Source organism: Homo sapiens, chromosome 3, assembly GCF_000001405.40.
Source record: "Homo sapiens chromosome 3, GRCh38.p14 Primary Assembly".
In the NCBI taxonomy this organism is placed as follows: Eukaryota; Metazoa; Chordata; class Mammalia; order Primates; family Hominidae; genus Homo; species Homo sapiens.
The window spans coordinates 122563427-122583293 of record NC_000003.12 but is presented as its reverse complement, the minus strand read 5'-3'; the positions used below and the strand labels follow the sequence as shown (position 1 = coordinate 122583293).

At 42.1% G+C, this 19867-nt stretch overlaps 3 protein-coding genes across 43 annotated transcripts in view, besides 5 other annotated features; 1 reads left to right on the top strand and 2 right to left on the bottom strand.

Moving 5' to 3' along the window:
* Positions 1-5644, bottom strand: part of PARP15 (poly(ADP-ribose) polymerase family member 15) — a 61398-nt gene extending 55754 nt beyond the window's left edge. For all 10 annotated transcript variants that reach the window (NM_001113523.3, XM_005247159.5, XM_011512476.4 and 7 more), the window contains exon 1: positions 5441-5644. In NM_001113523.3, the coding sequence (NP_001106995.1) occupies positions 5441-5626 (186 nt within the window). In that variant the 5' untranslated portion in view covers positions 5627-5644. The remainder of the gene's footprint in view (positions 1-5440) is intronic.
* Positions 5288-5337: a silencer, noted in NCBI's record as "silent region_14643". NCBI's record gives its function as "represses an Ori minimal core promoter by ATAC-STARR-seq in GM12878 lymphoblastoid cells {active_cell/tissue: GM12878}" and the evidence as "EXISTENCE:reporter gene assay evidence [ECO:0000049][PMID:35858748]".
* Positions 5398-5677: an enhancer, noted in NCBI's record as "active region_20379". NCBI's record gives its function as "activates an Ori minimal core promoter by ATAC-STARR-seq in GM12878 lymphoblastoid cells {active_cell/tissue: GM12878}" and the evidence as "EXISTENCE:reporter gene assay evidence [ECO:0000049][PMID:35858748]".
* Positions 7212-7261: an enhancer, noted in NCBI's record as "active region_20378". NCBI's record gives its function as "activates an Ori minimal core promoter by ATAC-STARR-seq in GM12878 lymphoblastoid cells {active_cell/tissue: GM12878}" and the evidence as "EXISTENCE:reporter gene assay evidence [ECO:0000049][PMID:35858748]".
* On the bottom strand, positions 8091-18956 carry DTX3L (deltex E3 ubiquitin ligase 3L). Its single transcript, NM_138287.3, has 5 exons — positions 18681-18956; positions 17224-17435; positions 13270-14805; positions 12622-12839; positions 8091-11616 (listed from the first exon to the last, which is right to left on the bottom strand). Exons 1-5 carry the CDS (start codon positions 18865-18867, stop codon positions 11547-11549), a joined length of 2223 nt encoding a protein of 740 aa, NP_612144.1. The 5' UTR covers positions 18868-18956; the 3' UTR covers positions 8091-11546.
* PARP9 (poly(ADP-ribose) polymerase family member 9) overlaps positions 18510-19867 on the top strand; it is a 36861-nt gene continuing 35503 nt past the window's right edge. For 19 of the 32 annotated variants that reach the window (NR_170859.1, NR_170861.1, NR_170864.1 and 16 more), the window contains exon 1: positions 18994-19049. The gene's annotated coding sequence lies outside the window, so the exon portion shown is untranslated. Of the gene's footprint in view, positions 18856-18993; positions 19184-19867 lie in introns of those variants that run through there. The other 13 variants (NR_170865.1, NM_001387877.1, NM_001387881.1 and 10 more) reach the window with 2 other exon arrangements.
* Positions 18949-19068: an enhancer, noted in NCBI's record as "active region_20377". NCBI's record gives its function as "activates an Ori minimal core promoter by ATAC-STARR-seq in GM12878 lymphoblastoid cells {active_cell/tissue: GM12878}" and the evidence as "EXISTENCE:reporter gene assay evidence [ECO:0000049][PMID:35858748]".
* Positions 19109-19208: a silencer, noted in NCBI's record as "silent region_14642". NCBI's record gives its function as "represses an Ori minimal core promoter by ATAC-STARR-seq in GM12878 lymphoblastoid cells {active_cell/tissue: GM12878}" and the evidence as "EXISTENCE:reporter gene assay evidence [ECO:0000049][PMID:35858748]".

Sequence of the window (19867 nt, the reverse complement as noted above, 5' to 3'; positions counted from 1 at the left end):
AAAAAAACTAGCCAGGCATGGTGGCAGGCACCTGTAATCCCAGCGTTTAGGAGGCTGAGGAAGGAGAATTGCTTGAACCTGGGAGACAGAGGTTGCAGCGAGCCGAGATCATGCCATTGCACTCCAGCTTGGGCAACAAGAGCAATACTCCATCTCAAAAAAAAAAAAAAAAAAAAAAAGATACAGATGATAGAATTAGTAAACAAAGATATTAAAACAATTATTATAATGGTATTTCATACTTCCAAGAAGGTAGAGGAAAACACGGGCATACTTAGCAGACACTTACTATAAAGGAGAACCAAATCAAACTCCTAGAGAGAAAAAATACAATGCCTGAGGTAAAAAAGAAAAAAAACACTGTAAACACTGTATGGGATTAACAGCATAATTATATACAGCAGAAACAAAAGACAAGTGAAATTTAAGTCACAGCAATGGAAACTATGCAGAATGAAAGACACAAAATAATGAATAAATTATTAGTAAGCTATGGCAAAACTTTAAGAGGACTAATACGAAAGAGAGAGAGGAAGGTACAGGAGAAAATATTTGAAGAAATTATAGCCAAAAAAATTCAAATTTGATGAAAACTATAAACCAAGAAGCACAATAAACATGAAGAAAAACTACACCTAGACACATCTACTTGATTAAAACCAGTGATAAGGAGAAAATCTGAACAGCAATTAAAGAAAAAAGAATTACACACAGAAGGGTAAAGATAAGAATGACAGCAGACTTCCAGTTAGAAATAATGCAAGCTAGAAAACAGTAGAGCAATATCTTTAACTGTCAACTTAGAAAATGTCATTCATGCTGGGTGCAGTGGCTCTTACATTTAATCTCAACACTTTGGGAGGCTGAGGTGAGAGAATTGCTTGAGTCTGGGGGTTCAAGACCAGCCTGGGCAATATAGTGAGACCCCATTTCTACAAAAAATGTTTAAAAACCAGCTGAATGCCAAGATGGTGCATGCTTGTGGTCCCAGCTACTCAGGAGGCTGAGGTGAGAGGATCACTTGAGCCCAGGAAGTCAAGGCTGCTGTGAGCAGTGTTTGCACCACTGCATTCCAGCCTGGATGACAGAGGGAGACCTTGTTTCAAAAAAAAAAAGGAAATATCATTCACAATAAATGTGAAATAAAAACCTTTCAGACATGCAAAAGCTGAAAGAACTCATCACCAGTAGACCAGTGCTATAAGAAATGTTAAAAGGTTTTCAGAGAGAACAACAATAATGCTAGATGAAAATGGTAAAATGTGAGTAAATATAAAAGACTGGTTCTCTAATTTTTTAAGTCACTTTTAATCTCCAAATAACCAAAACTATCTTAAGAAAGAACAACTAAGCTGGTGATCTTTCACTTCCTGATTTCAAAACATATTACAAAGCTACAGTAGTCAAAACAGTACAGTACTGGCATAAAGAAGACATATAGAACAATGGACCAAAAAAGAAAAGCTTGATGGCATTGAATTTGGCAATGATTTCTTGGATATGACACCAAAAACACAGGCAATAAAAGTAAGAATAAACAAATGGACTACGTGAAGCAAAAAACCGCATAGCAAAGGAAACAATCAACAGAATAAAAAGGTGACCTACAGAACAGGAGAAAATATTTGCAAATCATATATTGGTGAAGAGGTTAATATTCAGAACATACAAAGAACCCCTACAACTCAACTTCAACAAAAACCTGATTTAAAAATGGGCCAAGGACTTGAATAGACATTTCTCTGAAGAAGATATACAAATGGATGACAAGAATATAAAAAGATGCTCAACACTGCTAATCATTAGGGAAATAAAAATCAAAAGCATGGTGGAATATCACCTCATACCCATTAGGATGGGTGCTGTGAAAGAAAAGGAAAGGAAAGGAAGATGGGAAGGAAGGAAGAAAGAAAATAAATAACAAGTATTGTCAAGGATGTGAAGAAATTGGAATCCTTGTGTACTGTTGGTGGGAATGCAAAAATGATTTGGTTGCTATGGAAAACAGCATGGCAGTCCCAAAAAAATTAAAAATAGGATTACCATATGATCCAGCAATCCCAGTTCTGGATATAAATACAAAAGAATTGAAAACAGGATCTTGAAGAGATACAGTAATCTGTCACTTAATGATGGGGATACAGTCTGATAAATGTGTTATTAGGCAATTCTGTCATTGTGTGAACACCATAGAGTGTACTTACACAAACCTAGATGGTATAGCCTACTATACACTTAGGCTATATGGTATAGTCTATTGCTCCTAGGCTACAAATCTATACAGCATGTTAACATACTGAATACTACAGGCAATGGTAACACAATGGGATTTGTGTATTAAACATATCTAAATATAGAAAAGGTACAGTAAAAACACAGTATTATAATCTTCCAGGACCAGCATGGTTTACATGGTCGGTCACTGACTGAACTTCATTATGCAGAGCATGACTGTATTTGTACAGTCATTATTATTAGCCCAAGTTCATTATTATTAGTCACAATAGCCAAAAGGTGGAAGCAACCCAAATCCATCAGTTGGTGAATGTATAAACAAAATATGTTTATATATACGTATAAAATATTATTCAGCCTTAAAAAGGAAGGAAATTCTGACACATGCTATCACATGGATGAACCCGGAAGACATTATGCTAAGTGAAATGTCAGTCCCAAAAAGACAAACACATACTGTTTCAGTTTTGCAAGATGAAAAAGTTCTGAAGATTGCCTATGCAACAATGTAAACACACCTAACACTACTGAACTGTATACTTAAAAATGGTTAAGACGGTAAATCTGATGTTATATGCATTTTATCATTATTTTTAAAAATAAAAGAAAAAGAAACTTGGTAGATTTCAGTGCAAATATTATCAAGGGTAAAAATGTCATTTCATAATGACAAATGAACCAATTCATCAAGAGGAAATAATCCTAAACATTTTATTCCTAATAACAGAGCTTCAAAATATATGAAGCAAAATTGAGAGAACTCCGAGGAGAAAATAAACAAATCCACAATTATAGTTGGAGATTTCATCATCCTCTCTAAATAATTGATAGAACAAGTAGACATAAAATCAGTAAGGACATGAGGACTTGAACAACAACCAACTCCACCTAATTGACATTTATAGAACACTCTATCCAATGAGAGAATGTACTTTGTTTTCAAGTGTGCTTGGAAATTTACCAAGATAGATCATATTGTGTCCATAAGACAAATGTCTCTGTGTGTGTGTGTGCGCGCGTGCATATATATATATATATATATATATATATATATATATACATATAGTTGCTGTTGTTGTTCAGACAGAGTCTTGCTCTGTCACCCAGGCTGGAGTGCAGTGGCGCAATCTCAGCTCACTGCAACCTCTGCCTCCCAGGTTCCAGCAATTCTCCTACCTCAGCCTCTTGAGTAGCTGGGACTACAGGTGTGTGCCACCATGCCTGGCTAATTTTTGTATTTTTAGTAGAGACGAGGTTTCACCATGTTCGCCAGGCTGATCTTGAACTCCTGACCTCAAGTGATCCACCTACCTTGGCCTCCCAAAGTGCTGGGATTACAGGCGTGAGCCACCGCGACCGGCCCTCAATACATAGATTTTAAAGAATTCAAATAATGAAAAATATGTTTTCTGACCACAATGAAATTTAACTATTAATAGAAAGCAGTAGCAAATTAGTGATACCTAAGGCTCCAAAGACTCTCTGCTGAATGATTTCATGTACATGACGTTCTGGAACTACAGGGACCAAAAGATGACCCTAGTGGTTGCCAGGAGCTCATCTTGAGTGAAGAGGTTGAAGACAAAGAAACTGGTAGAAAACTCTTTTATATCTTCATTATACTGGTAAACATTTGTCAAAACTCACAGAAGTATACACTAAAAAGTATGAATTTTCTAAATATAGAAAAGCTGTCTGTAAATTACACCTTAATTTTTAAAATGAAAGAAAACATCAAAGCATACATACACGTAAATAGACAACATAGCGAATGAGTAAACCTCATATATAATATTGAGAAAAAAGAAAAATTGAAATGTTTTATGTGAAGATAACTATAAACCTTCTTTAAAGACACAAAAATAGACTTAAACAATGAAAAGGCATCCTTTGTTTCGCTTCCTTTTCTATGTGCTTCAAAACATTCCTTCATAATGGAGATTTCATTGGTTGTGTCGAGGATCAGTACACAGATATTTCAATTTGTACACTATTCTTAACATACACACACAAAAAAGTTTAAAAAGTCATGTATTGTAATTGTTTTTAAAAGTTATTCTAGTGACTTTCCAGCTTAAAATTTGGAGGCAAATTTTCCTTAAGAGGATATGAAGTACCAGTATCTACAATTGTTGAAAAGCTGTTACATATGTCCCACCAATTCACAATTTAATATCATATACATTACATACTCAAATTTTCAATCTTTCACAGCACAGTAGGTTAGACCATGTCAACACCACCTAAAGATATCAGCTCTCTGTAATTTATTAATTTAATGCAATCCCAATAAAAATTCCAAAGAGCTTTTCTTTTTTTTTTTTAAACTGATCATACATCAGAAAAGTTCATAAGGAAAAATAAACAACAAGAATAGCTAGGAAAATAGTGACAAGGAAGCACTCTCTAGGAAGACTAGCCCTGACATTAAAACATACAGCAAAGCCTCTCTAAAGCAGATGAATAAACGGGTCAATGGATGAAAATAGAAGGTCCAGAAATACCCGAACCACATATGAAAGTCTAGTACATGATAAAGCTGGTATCTCAAGTTACTGGGACAGTGACGACCTTTATAATAAATGGTGTTGGGACACTTGATACCCATTTGAAAAAAAATAATTAGATTCACTCCTCAAACCACACACAATAACACACTCCAAATGTATTATAGATCTAAATGTAAAAAATACATCAGTTCAAGTACTAGAAGCAAGCATGAGTGAACTCTTCTATAACTTGGGTGTAGGGAAGAGTATGACTAAAAGTCATATATTAAAATATGACTAAAAGTCTAGACGTCATAAAATAAAAGACTGGTAAGTCTTGCCACACAAAATTTAAAATATTTGCATGGCAAAGAGAAACAAAAGCCCCCCATAAGCAAACTCAAAAAACAAAAAATAAATTGGGAGGACATATTCATAACACATATCACGAATAAAGGACTCATATCCTTTCAAACTTTATAAAGAACTTTTAAATTTTAAGGGAAAAAAAAAAAAAACCACCAGAAATGCTAAGGAAAAAGAAGCAGCACGCATCCCCCTCTTCCGGAACAGGGAAGTCAGTGTAGTCGGCGCCCCCTAGAAGAGAGGGTTGTGCGTGGCGTGGGGTCTCTGCGCCCGCTCGGGCTGCTGGGTCTTGCGGGCCCCAGGCTCAGCCCTGCTGTCCCCTTCCCGCACCCGTCCCCCGCGCTCCTCACCATACTCCGGGAGGAAGAGCGCCGGGAGGCCTTCCGCGCCCCACGGTTCCCGGCCGGCAGCACGCTCCCCGCCTCCCGATCTCGTCCGGCTCTGGAAGTAACACCTGCAACTCCGTGCATAAGTTCTCTGGGGGTCGGAGCCCCTGGACTCAGAGCAGCGGCAGGAAGGGGGCCTGGCGCAGCCATCCTCAGCTCGCTGGGACTGCAGTTGCGCCCCACCCAACAGGCTTGTGCCTCGAACTTCTTTTCTCTGAAAACCGCTTCCGTCAAAGATTGAGGCCTCGAGTTTGCGAACAGCTGCCTCAGGATTGTGTCGCCCTTTGGGACAGACGTTACTGCCAGACAAATCCTGGGTCAAAATCCTGAGGTCTGCAATTTTATTAGTTATGTAGCCTCAGTCAATAGCATCTGTACAGTGGGCACAGCCATAACTATTTCATGTTATTATAATGAAGATTAAATGAGATAAAGTCTGTAGAATGCCTGGCACATTAAAACACAGGAATCAGTATTCCTTTCCTTTTCTGTTGGGCATCCCACTCCTTTCCCCCCAATTCTCCCTACACACCCATATTTAGAAAAATACACTGGGTTCTCTCCTGTGCTCCCTAAGCCAGGGCTGGAGTCAGGTTCCCCTCTGGCCCAACAGGGCATTATTTAATTCAATCAACGCGTATTGAAGGCCTTTGATATGCCTGGCACTGTGTTAAGATTATAAAGATGAATTAGACACAGATCCCCTCTCTTTGGAGTGAGGGGTGAAGTAGGAGGTGGAGAAATAAAACATAGATTAATACTGTTACCTGGTGTATCACGAAAAGTCCTGGCAGTATACAGATGGTATACTCAAAATTAATAATTGAAGATAATTTAATAAAGAAATTATTTACACAGGTGTGGGCAAAGGGTTAAGGAAACCATTGAGAGATGGTGAAGTAGCCTCCTCCCCTTACCATCTAGGCTGAAGGGGCAAGGGAGGGGGCATCTCCTGAACTTGGTAAGAGCTATACCAAGTGCCAGCAGGTAGAACCCATGACTGCTTTCGGAAGACAGCCAGGGGAGTATAAGCATCCCAAGTACTCTCTCCGTGTGCCTTCCAATCTCGTGCTGGTACCTCCCACTGCAGAACCCAATGAGTAATCAGAGAATGGAGCTGATGTGGTACTTAGAGGTCAGCCCTCAGTACCACCTCCAAGGCAGAGAGCAGGGTAAAAGGTTTTGGTATCGTATTTGCATTGAGATACATATAAAGTATTAGGATAACAGAAATCAGTGGTTCGTTGTAATTTAGAGACAAGATTGGAGAAAAGTTTCTATAGTAGTGGCATTTCAGTAAGACCTTGCATGATGAGTAGGGGACTTTCTAAGAGGAAAATCAGGTGAAGAATGAGAATGAGGTGTGTCTCTCTCTCCCTCTCTCTCTTCAGAGTTCCCTTTTTCATCATCTGTCATGCAGAGAGCAGCGATGGGGGTGGATTACACAGAACAAAGATCACATGAATGAAAGCATAGACTGTGCTTTGGAAAATCTTGTAGTCTGGTGTGACTGAACCCTAGGGACTTGGTGGTGAGGAAGGAGCACAAAGTATGCAAAGTGGCATGAGCAATCGCTAACGGCCATGCTGCTGAGTTTAAACTCTATTTTCTAGGCCAGTGGATCTCTAAATGTAATTCCCAGACCAGCAACATCAGGTTCATTGTGAAGCAGTAACCAGGGTGATAACCCCTAGCACCGCGTTACATTACATCTTACTTTGCCTCACTTCTCTTTTTGTTTGTCCTTGGGCTTGGACCTCCAAAATTATTAATATCTTAATCTTTGCATCAAGCTCTATGTTTTAGATCTGATCAATAAAAATGACCCAATCGATAAAAAAGGAAATAGCACCTAACTTCTGTATGGAAATCAAACCAAAAACAGTACTAAACATTTTTTTTTTTTTTTGAGACAGAGTCTCGCTCTGTTGCCCAGGCTGGAGTGCAGTGGCCTGATCCCAGCCTACTGCAACCTCTGCCTCCTGGGTTCAAGCAATTCTCATGCCTCAGCCTCCGGAATAGCTGGGATTACAGATGTGTACCACCATGCCTGGATAATTTTTGTAAACACTAAACTATTACGGTAAGTGTAAGGAAGTCCAATAAAGATCTTATTTTTCTCCTAATGATTACTTTGATGCTATTTTCAGGGAAGCATCAAATATGTATTATTCTTTTATTTTATTTTTTCTTTGGAGAGAAGGGTGCCCCTGATCTAATAGTGCTCAATGACCTGTCTGGGTACTTCAGCACCAATGTTGGAGAGGTGAAACAGAACCTCAAGAAGCAAGGAGAGGGCAAATATAGTTTGATAGGGTATTGTATATACTCTCTCCAGGAGAGAAGAGATGATATCTGCAGCCTACTTTTATCTTTATAACCTATATGTTATAAGGAAAAAATACTGAGAAATGTGATTTTTACAGCCAAAAGTAACAGCAGTGAAGTCAAGAGTAGTTAAGTTGTACTGTGATCATATTTAGGAAGCAGCTACACACAAAATCAACCAAAGATCTCCATGCACATGTTATACAACTGTATGCTGTGTGTGTTGTAGGAAACACCCAGAATCTCAACCTAAAGGAAAAAAAAAGAAGCAAGGGAAAGAACACAATTTGTTCCAAATCTTTAACTTTATTTAAAGCAGATACAGATGATAACAGCTTCCAAAGAGTAAAAGCAGTAACCCAAATGCTCTGCAATCTCCCACACCATGAAACTTGCATGTCACACACAGTGCAATCTCCCATCCAGAATCCAGAACTTAGTAGAAACCAAACTTTTGCTTCTTTGGAACAAATTTAGCTAAAAGATGAACAGCTAGAAAATAACTATAATAGTAAAGAATTTAATGAATCACCAAAAACTAAATTTATAATCTGATTTTTTTTTAAAAACATGTATCATTTAGCTTAAGCTTCCTCAACTCTCTGGACAAAGAAAAAGATTCTGAGTTTTTAAGTTCTTCCAATAGGATTTCCTCTGGGGAAATTTGCTTTGAATACTGTGTGGGAATCCATTTCTGAGAGAAGCCCAGAATAAAGGGATCGCCTCAGGCTGCTCCATGGAGAAGTACCCTCATGGGAGACAGTACAGCTCTGGGGGGCAGAGCTATGGGGGCAGACTACCTGGTTCATACCCCAGCATTTCCACTTATTAACTGTGTGACCTTTGGCAAGTTGCTTATCCTCTCTGTGCACCAGTTTTCTCAGTTATAAAATGGGAATATGAACTGTATCAATCACACAGATGTAAAGCTGTTGTAAAGGGGACAAACTAAGGTAAGTACTCATTAAATATTAGCTATTATTATCTGATAAAAAAATTTGTACATGTGTGTATGTGTATCTTTGGGAAAAGAAGAAGACATCTTGTTTACTATTTTTTTGGAGAGAGGCTGGGACATGGATAATCACATAATTTGCTATTATTACTTTAATCTGACTTGAAGAACCGTTTAAAAATAAAATTTAGCATGTCATATATTCCTTATAGTAGGCTTATTTCACCTTTTTTCTGTCCAGAGAGAGTATCAGTGAGAAAGATTTTAAGGGTGAAAACATGAATTGGTGGGACTTAGTAAAGAGCTGAAAAACTACTACAATGTGGGCTACGGTTATTATAAAATGATAGAGATGGAAACTAGAGTAAGTTTATTTTGTCTGTTAAACCTGGAAGTGAGCTAGGCATGGTCACTCACGCCTGTAATCCCAACACTTTGGGAGCCCAAGACAGGAGGATCCCTTGAGTCCAGGAGTTCAAGACCAGTCTGGGCAACACAGGGACACCCCATCTCGACCAAAAAAAAAAAAAAAAGCCAGGCATGGTGGTGCACTTCTGTGGTCCCAGCCACTTGAGAGGCTGAGGTGGGAGGATCACTTGGCCCCAGGAGGTTGAGGCTGCAGTGAGTCGTCATTGTGCCACTGCACTCCAGCCTGGGGGACACAGTGAGACCCTGTCTCAAAACAACAACAACAAAAACAAAGCAAAACAAAACAAAAAACACTTGGAAGTGGGGTATACTCAAAAATATAAAATTATCTAGAGAAAAACAATGCTCAGAAATATATAGCATTACTGTGGCAGGGCAAGTGCACCCAATATGGCAGTTTACAAGGAGCAGAAAGCAAAGGCTCAAGTGAGGGGCCTGGTCAGAGTTCAGGCTCCAAGTGTTCTAGAATAAGAAACTCAAGTCAGGCACCGTGGCACATGCCTATAATCCCATCTACTCGAGAGGCCAAGGTTGGGGGATGGCTTGAGCCCAGGAGTTCAAGTCCAGTCTTGATGTCTTCCCTTGAGAGACAGGGCAATATAGTAAGGACTTGTCTCTTAAGGGAAAAAGCAATGAAAGAAAGAAGCTCAGTTTTCCAAATTAGTAGCAAGGACTCCAGAAATGGCTTCCTTACTCCTGCCTCTGCCAAAGATTTAGGAGGCAAATATCCCTCTGCTGGCTTACTAGCAACCTGAGTCAGGCAAACAATTTTATGAAACACTGCTACAGTTTAGTTTGTTTGACCTCCTCCAAATCTCATGTTGAAATTTGATCCTCAGTGTTGGAGGTGAAGCCTAACGGGAGGGGTCTGGGTCATGGGGGCAGATTCCCCCATGAATGGCTTGGTGCTGTTCTCATGGGAGTGACTCACTCTTAGTTCCTGAAGAACTGCTTGTTAAAAAGAGCCTGGCACCTCCCCGACACCTCTCTCTCTCACTTCCTCTCTGTCATTTGATTTCTGCACACACTGGCTGCCCTTTGCTATGAATGGAAGCAGCCTGAGGCTTTCACCGGATGCCCAACCTTCTAGCCAGCAAAATTGTGAGCCAAACAAACCTTTTTCTTTATCAATTACCCAGTCTCAGGTGTTCTTTTATAGCAACACAAACAGACTAAGACAGGCACCAACTATATACTAGGCTCTTGGTCATTAAAAATGATAGTCTTGTGTGGGTGTGGTGGCTCATGCCTGTAATTCCAGCACTTTGGGAGGCCAAGGCAGGAGGATCATTTGAGCTCAGGAGTTTGAAACCAGCCTGGCCAACATGGCAAAACCCCGTCTCTACTAAAAATACAAAAAATTAGCCGGGTGTGGAGGCACACACCTGTAATCCCAGCTACTCAGGAGGCTGAGGCAGGAGAATCGCTTGAACCCGGGAAGTGGAGGTTGCAGTGAGCCAAGATCACACCACTGCATTCCAGCCTGGGTGACAGAGTGAGACTCCATCTCAAATAATAATAATAATAGTCTTATTCCATTTATTACCAATGCTTGCCCAATCTCTACTCATGGCCACTTTTCTTACCATGAGTAAGAAAGCAGAATGTGGGTCTTTAATTTTTCACAACCAACCCTTTTTCCTCCCATTTACAATAGAATTTCACTTTCACAGGTAGAGATGAAGGGGAAAACACACAAAAAACCAAAGAACCACCCCAGAGATGGCAATGAAAAAGAGATCAATTGGCAGCCGAGAGTCCAACTGAAGGACACAGAAGATTATTTCGGACCCACCTCTAACCCCAGTGATGACACAAGAGGGATGACACCTTTGCAGCAGATTTTACACAGATTTGGGGGGCTTTTGTCTTCCATAAAAAGTATCACTCCAGGGCTGGGCGCGGTGGCTCACGCCTATAATCCCAACACTTTGGAAGGCTGAGGCGGGCGGATCACGAGGTCAGGAGATCGAGACCATCCTGGCTAACACAGTGAAACCCTGTCTCTACTAAAAATACAAAAACAAAAATTAGCCGGGCATGGTGGTGGGCGCCTGTAGTCCCAGCTACTCGGGAGGCTGAGGTAGGAGAATGGCATGAACCTGGGAGGCGGAGCTTGCAGTGAGCCGAGATCATGCCACTGCACTCCAGCGCGAGCGACAGAGCAGACTCCGTCTCAAAAAAAAAAGTATCACTCCAGAAATGACAGACTAGCAGATTGTTATTCTTATACAAACCATTTCTTGAGAAGAAAAATTTCAAAGTCCTTTCTACATAAGGATTTAGACTGGCATTAAATCAGCCTCCTAAAATATATTTTTTTGAAAGCTTGATTTAAGACATCTTCCAGCAGTTGTCTTACTCAATTCCTTTGGCTTTCAGCTCCTCTTTGACACGTTTCAGGTAAGAAGGATCAGGATAGCCATACCTGAAGAAACAAAAATTCCTTTAGTGTCACCACAAATTGTTCGGATATGTGCAATAGATATCCAGCATTTAAGGATTTAATTAATATCCAGTGTTGCAAACATTCACAAGTAATCCTGAAGGTGGATGACGTATCATGACTTTTAAATTCGCAGATGCGAGTCATTTCGCTAGCGAGTGAGCCTAGCTGTCTGGCCAGCATCTGCCTTTCAAGCTGGCTTCTACCCTGCCAACTACAAAGTATTAATATGATGTATTTATTACATTTCGCATCAAAGGGCAGGGGGTTTGAGAATCCAAGATGAATAGTAATACGTTGATTTACTTTGAGGCTTCATGTCTATGTTAATTCTTAAAATTTTTCAGTTTATGGTAAGTAGTGACTCTCCTAAAAATATAATAATATACTGTGTTTTAGGGGGGCATCGTAATCACATGCTAGTAGGATTTTCAAATTTAAGGTTTTGGAAAAGTCTCAGGGTATATATTTTTTCTTTAGTGCCAAGGGTCTGAGGAATCCTATTTGGGTTTCATAAAGAACAATTGGATTTCGTATAATACAGTTTCTACCAATAGTCTCCTCACAACTTAGACTTTTTCTAGAATATTATTGGCCAAGTGATTTCAGGTTCTCTGTGGACTGGTGGGGGAAGGGGTGAAAAAGAAAGGTGACCTTAAAAGGAAGCAAAGTGACATTCCGAGCATCTAGCCTTCAGATAGACACAACGCCTCAAATTAAATCAGCTTATATAGTATTCATCTCGGATTCAAAAGCCCCCTGTCCTTTGGTGCAAAATTTAAATAACTCCATAGTACTTTATAGCTGGCAGGGTAGAAGTTGATGGGGACCAATCTTTCTGTCTTTGAGATTACCATCCCCGATCAGCAGCTCTCAAAACACCAATTCCACTGCTATAGAGTCTACTTATATCCACATCCAGAAATTGCCGTATTTCATAATCCCTATACTCTGTTGAGCAGCCATTACATCCCAAAAGGATCTCACATTTCTGGTCCTCCAAACCGGGATGTTTTGTGGTGAATATCATTCCAAGTGATGACATCTGAGACTCCTAATACGCGAGAGTACCCCACTGTAAAAATCAGCTTTTGGTCAAAGGCCCTATAAAGCAGTTTCAAAACCTTCCTTCCTTCCTTATTATCAGGCAAGTATGCAGTTCGCTGTATTCCAGGGTATCTCTTTCCTGGGTTTGGGTGTTCTTCCTGTGTGAGAACAAGAAAATGTCATGTGAAAAGAGTGCCCTGTCTAATTTTTACTATAGGTATAGATGTGTTCATTTGTAGATAAAGCAAATCAAAAGCAAGAAAGGTATTGAAGTTATGCTCATATTCCCAATAACTCATATTTCTCCTCTTTCCTTGAATTCATGCTGGAAACACTGTCCACCTTCCTGATACCCCCATCTCAAGATATAATCTCCACCCACCCTTTCTCTGTCTTAAGAAATAGACACAAAAGGTATTTGAATTACCAGCAAACATTGTGACCTTTACCACTATTTCAGTCCCTTGCACATGACCCTGGAGATAATTCCTTGGGAAATCTATTGTCTAATAGGCAACAGGACAGTCTCTTTTGCCCTGGTAATCGTAGCATAGTGGCAAGAAACCCATGGACTTGAGAAATACTTACTGTTTGTATGCCTGCTTTCATAGAATAAGTAATCACAATGGTGCCAAAGGACTCATAACCTGGAAGTGAGTCTCTTGAAACAGTGAAAACCATGCTTCCCTCTGGCTGATTTCCTTTCTGAATACCATAGGAAGTCTGGCATGTGGGACAGATTGGCTTATATGACATGGCTTTGTTGATACAAGGGGCGCAGAATTCATGCTTGCACTTTGGTAGCACTTTTTTGTTACTAATGGTGTCCATACAGATGACACAGATGCCCTTTTCCTTCTTGTCCAGTTCTGAGGCCTCAGAACTCACAGAGCCCTTGAGTGGCGGAGAAGCTGCTTTGGAATCATCGCTATCAATGTCCATCGGTGTTTCATGACCCTCTTTCAATTTCTTTCCAGCCAATGAAGACATTCCTCCTCCTTTTAGAACATACTGCTTCGCCTTTGCAAGGTGATTTGGCAAACCAGTCAAAGTCATTGACTCTTGATTTAGCACAAAGTGTACATTTGGATGTCTTTTTCTAAAGTCATCAGCAAACTTGGTCTGATGTAAGTGCTTTCTCTCCTTGCCCAAAGACTTCAGTAAAAGAACTTCTCTCATCAACTGACATGAGGCATGTTGAAAGGCATCGATGAAACTTGCATAAGCATGCACAGATAGATCTACCTGCCTGTCCTTGGATTCAAACAGAATGCAGGTTTTCTGACCTTTCTCAGAAACCTTGCTGCAAATGTCATACCTTTTTTCGATCTCTGATATCTCCTGTAGTAATTCAGTTTCTAAAAGTTTATAGTGGGCACTATCAACCTCAATTACATTCATCATGTAATTGGCAGCAAATAGTTTCACAGGTATCTTGACAAAAGCTTCAGAGATTTTTTGTTTGGCAGCTGAAATGTCATCTTGGGTCCCAAGGAGAGTTAATTCGCCTCCTTTCTCCTTTATAAGGAGCTTTGTAAACTGGTGATTCAATTCCTGTTTGAATTTATTTGCCTGCTTACTGTCTGCTAAAGAGACACATTCTTGCTTCAGAGGTTCTGTGTTCTTCTGAAATTCACTAGCAAAAGACTCACGAGCTGCTTCCAGGTCACCTGATCGACTTGAGGTGAAATCTAAACAGACCATATTTGGAGAACTCTCCTGGATTTCAATGTTTACACCAAATCTTTTCTCTATTGAGTTGATTTTATCAGGACAGATATATTTAAAGTATTCAAAGTAAGGCAAGGGAACTTCAAAATAGTTGCTTTTTTGTTCTGCCTTGGTTTCTGGTTCAGAAGGAGAAATGCAGCTGTCCCTCTCCTGCTGACTGAGTGGCTTCCTCTCTGTCATTGAAGGGGAAAATTGTTGTTTCTGCTCACTTTCCAGGAACTGCTCACTCAAAAATTGATGTATTCTTTCAATGTCTTGGAAGTCACCACACACCTTCTCAATTCCATCGTGACCTTCCATTTTTCTGATACTAGGGCACAGTGTGGTTATGTATGCCCTCTGCTCTTTGGAGAACAGGTTACAGTTCAGGTCAGCTGTTACAGTAAGAAAGATCTGAAATTTTAAAAGGAACAGGAACAAATAAAACCTCTCAGCATGCAGGCCTACCATCTTCTCTTCAGGAGAATGCATAGAGACTAGAGAAACAACCACTACATCTTTCCCAAGTGGGGGCAACTTCTTTCAAATCCTATTTATTTATTTATTTATTTATTTATTTATTTATTTATTTCAAGATGGAGTTTCACTCTTGTTACCCAGGCTGGAGTGCAATGGCGCGATCTCAGCTCACTGCAACCTCCGCCTCCCGGGTTCAAGCAATTCTCCTGCCTCAGCCTCCTGAGTAGCTGGGATTATAGGCATGTGCCACCACGCCCGGCTAATTTTGTATCTTTAGTAGAGACGAGGTTTCTCCATGTTGGTCAGGCTAGCCTGGAACTCCTGACCTCAGGTGATCCACCCACCTCAGCCTCCCAAAGTGCTGGGATTACAGACATGTGCCACCGTGCCTGGTCTCAAATCCTTTTTAGAGGATACAGCACGCTACATCCCAGAGGTTCTCAGCCCTGTCTGCATATAAGACTCACCTGGCGAATTCAGGGAAAAACAAACCAGCCAAAGCCCAAGCACATCCCCAGAGATTCTGATGTTAACTAATCTGCAGTGGAGCCTGGGCATGAGCATTTCTAAAAGCTCCATGGCCAAGAGATCCGTGTTCTACAACTGCCACTAGCTGTTTGATCTTGGGAACAGCAGTCAAGGGAAGGCACCTGTGCTCTCTGGGCAAGTTGTTGTGGCCCTCACAAAAGTTTGTGAACTTGGAAGGGAGCCATAAAACTGAGGGCAATGGCTTTTCCTATTACTATTTTTTCTCTTCTTCACTCTTCCTCCTTTATTCTTGTTTCAACTAAACACTCGACTGCATGCAAAGTTGTGGACCCTTCTAAACCCTGGCCTTTAGAAGCTCAAATATAAGACACGCCAGGTTAAGATAAAAAGGACAGAGACCAATTGACTGTAATATAAAAGCAAAATTCCTAATGTTTTGTTCCTTCTCAAGGACTTTGCATGTTAAGATCCTTCCTCTAGATCTTCAAAATGTTTCCTGAATCCAGCCATTTCTCACACCTCCATCAAGGCCACCAAAGTGCATGCCATTATCATCTTTCACCTGGCGCACTGCAACCCCTCCTAACCAGGCTCTAACTCTCCATTCTATCCCCTTTCTACGTTCAGTTTTCCAACAGCAGCCAGAGTGACCCTTTAGAAATATAAACCAGATCGCCCTCTCCCCTGGCTCAAAACTATCTGATGAATCCCCTAACATTTTAAGTTAAAAATCCAAAATCCTTACCTTCAGCCCCAAAGGCCTGTCTTCTGGGTACCTTCCCGAGTTCCTAGCACCTCTCTCCATTGCTCACTGCCCTCCCCACCACACTGGCTTCCTTAAAGCTTCTGGGCCTCAAAATGTCAGCTCTTGGGGACTTTGCACCTATGCTTCCCTCTAGGACACTTTCCGCCCAGAAATCCACTTGGCTAGAGATGTCACCTCACTTGAGGTTTTTCCAGACATCCTATTTTAAATGGTGGTTCTGTCACTGTCTGTCACTTATTCTTCTTCCTAGCAGGTATGACTGGCAGACATTTTATTATATATCTATTGTTTACTAATATTGTCTGTTTCTCTCTCTAGAAGGTGCCGTCCCTGGAAGCCGAGTCTGCCATGTTCCTGGCTGCCTCCCCAGCTCCTATAACAGTGCCTGGAACACAGTAGGCAGTGGATATCTATTGTTGAATGAATCTTGTCATCATTCAAGTTTCAGGCCAAACATCACCTCCTCAGTCAAGTTGTCTCTGATTTCTGGTTAGAAGTAGCACCAGGCCAGGTGCAGTAATTCATGACTGTAATCCCAGCACTTTGGGAGGCCAAGGCGGGCAGATCGCTTGAGCCCAGGAATTTGAGAACAGCCTGGGCAACATAGTGAGACTCTGTTTCTACAAAAAAAAAAAAAATTGGCTGGGTGTAGTGGCGCCTATAGTCCTAGCTACTCAGGAGACTGAGGTGAGAGGATCCCTTGAGCCCAGGAGGTCAACTCTGCAGTGAGCCATGATTGTGCCACTGTACTCCAGCCTGGGCGATAAAGTGAGACTCTGTCTTGGGGGGAAAAAAAGAAGTAACACCACCCCCATCTTCCCCTTGCTTGCCCTGGCGCTGTTTCTCTCCAAATAAATAAAATGGTTTTATTTATTTTGTTTACTTGCCTACTGTCTTTCTGTGCATGACCTGGCCCCCAGTATAAGCTGCCTGAGAGCAGGGGCCTTGTCTGTTATATTCATCTCTGTGTCCAGTGCCTAAAACAGTGCCTGGCTCCCATGTACGTGCCCAGCACATGGGTGTTGGATCAATAATACATGAGGCTGGTGACTGGAGAGGAGGCGCAGGCACAGCCAGCTCCTTCTTTCAATACTCACCTTTTGGAGACAGGAATCCACAGCATTAGGAATATGTCCTTCATGTTGATGCATATCACCAGACGGTGTTTCTGCTTGTGATTGTGTCAGTGAAGAAATTTGAGGTCTCGTGTTCTTCTTTATTGAATTTTCAGTGGGTACCAGGAAAATGGGCACAGGTTTTTCGTCAACAAGTATTTGGTGCTCTCCTTTTTTCAACACTCTCTCCTTAGCTTCAGTGGAGACATTAAACACACACATATACACACATAAAAATGGGAGAGATTTCAAGTAATCCTCTCATTCCTGTGTCTGTACTCTGCCCCAGCACCTCCCAGTAAGGCTGCTCCCTGCATCCTGGAATGGTGGGTTGGCGATGGAGAAAGTCGGGGAGCTATTAAGAGCTCTAAAGTGTGCGGATTAAGTTTTACTATAGAAGTGAAAGCTTAATGACAATGGAACATTGTCCACCGATTAAACATCATGTTTCTAAAACTGTCTCCAGTCTCCCCTTTCCTTCTTCCTTCTTTCCCTCCCTCCCTCCCTTCCTTCCTTCTTTTTTTTTTTTTTTTTTTTTTTAGACGGAGTCTCACTCTGTCACCCAGGCTGGAGTGCAATGGTAGGACCTCGTCTCACTGCAACCTCTCTGCCTCCCGAGTTCCAGCGATTCTCCTGCCTCAGCCTCCAGAGTAGCTTGGATTACAGGTGCGCACCACCATGCCCGGGTAATTTTTGTATTATTAGTAGAGACGGAATTTCCCCATGTTGGCCAGGCTGGTCTCGAACTCCTGGCCTCAGGTGATCCACCAACCTCGGCCTCCAAAGTGCTAGGATTACAGGCGTGAGCCACCGCACCCGGCCCAGTCTCCCATTTCAATACTCATTATACAGGTAAGTGACAACAGCAGGAATCAAAAGTGCAGACTCCGAATTTTGTAAATATACATGTGTTTGCTGGCATTCATAAAAAAAGGCAGGAAGGAAATACACCAAATGGTCACATTGTTTATCTTCAGGTTGTTTTCTTTTTTACTCTTTTATTTCTATAGTGAGCATATATCACTTTTGTAATCCTCAAAAACACAAAATGGAACATCCTTTTGTTCATGGATGGAACAATGGAACCATTATTTAAAACATAAAAGTGGAATCCCTGAATGACAAGGACAGCAGCTGGCAGGCATCTGGGGGAAGGAAGATGACAGCTGAGAAATTAAGTTAGAATGAGGATATGGAAAGCATCCACACTAAGGCGCCGTCAGCCAGACCCGCACCAGGCACATGTGAGGCCCCATCCTCCACCGAGTGTTCACTGTCTCAGTGAGTCTCTTGGCAGTAGGGCCCCGTCCCTGTCCGCCACCGCACAGTGACATACTTTCTCCCGCCCTCTCCCCTAGGTCAGCTGGAACTGGGTCCGCCTGGAAACCCGGGGGCCGGGCCCCCAGAGGGCTTTCGCAGCCTGGCCGCCCGAAGCTCACCTGCCCTTTCACTGAACTCCACCCGGAAGGTGCCCGGGGCTTCGTGTTCCTGGGTGCTGACCGTGCACTCCCCGCCGCCCGAGGACTTAGAGCTCTGGAAGTAGCTCTCCAGCTTCCTTCGTACTCGGGGGCCGGACTTGTACACCCGCACGAGGAGCGGGGACGGCGGGCGCAGGTGGGAGGCCATGGCTCTGCGCGTCGGGAGGGCGCGGGGGCTCCGGGAGGCAGCTGGGCGGTAAAGGCGCGGCCCGCCCTGCGGACTGGGCGCAAAGTTTCAGTTTCGCTTCCCTGGAGGTCCCTCCCTGTTCCCGGCAGAGCCGCTTCCCCCTCCTCCCTGTGCTGTCTGCACCGAGGAGAGCGGCCTGCCGGGTGAGTAGGTCCGGTGCCTCTGGGCCCTCGGGGTCCCCTCTCCTGCAGGCTCGAGGTGGGCGGGGAGAAGGGGGACGGGCGCGGACCCGGGTCCCAGGGCCAGGCCTCCCTTGTGAGTAGACTATGCAAAGAAAGTAAGTTTCTCCTGTGTTTCTTATTCTTTGTAACTCTTACTGCTGTTACCACTATTATTTGATCCTAAAAAGTAATTCACATTCTGAATCCATGTTAAACTTACCCATTTTTGAAAATTTGAATGTGTTCATCTGGTAATTGTGACCTGTTACCCCTTCCCTCCCTCCAACTCTACCCTTTAGACGGGCTTCTGCGGGCTTTTCTCCTCCATTGCTTGATTTAACCAACAGCACTGAATTGTTTCTTGCTGCCCAAAGAGCAGAGCAAGGCCCTGATGTCAAGGGCTGGTGAGGGGAGGCGGACCTGTGAACCAAGGAGCAAAACTTCTCCAAGGCCTCCAAGGGGAAGTTTCAAGCAGAATCTTAATAAATTGAGTGTGGCGGCGAGATGGGGAGGACAGGATTGGGGGGAAAAGCACCTGAGGCTTAGGGACCACTGTGGTCTGAAGCACAGAGTGGGCCTGGGGCCTGGGAGGAGAGGAGATGGGTGAGGGGATGAAGGAGGGAGAGCCTACCTAGATGGGCACTGTCCAGCAGAAATACAATGGGAGCCAGTAGGTTCATTCTAAAATTTTTGCAGCCATATTTTTTAAAGGATAAAGAAACAGATGAAATTAATTTTAATGATTTTTAGGAAATTTTTAAAGGATAAAGAAACAGATGAAATTAACTGTAATGATGTTA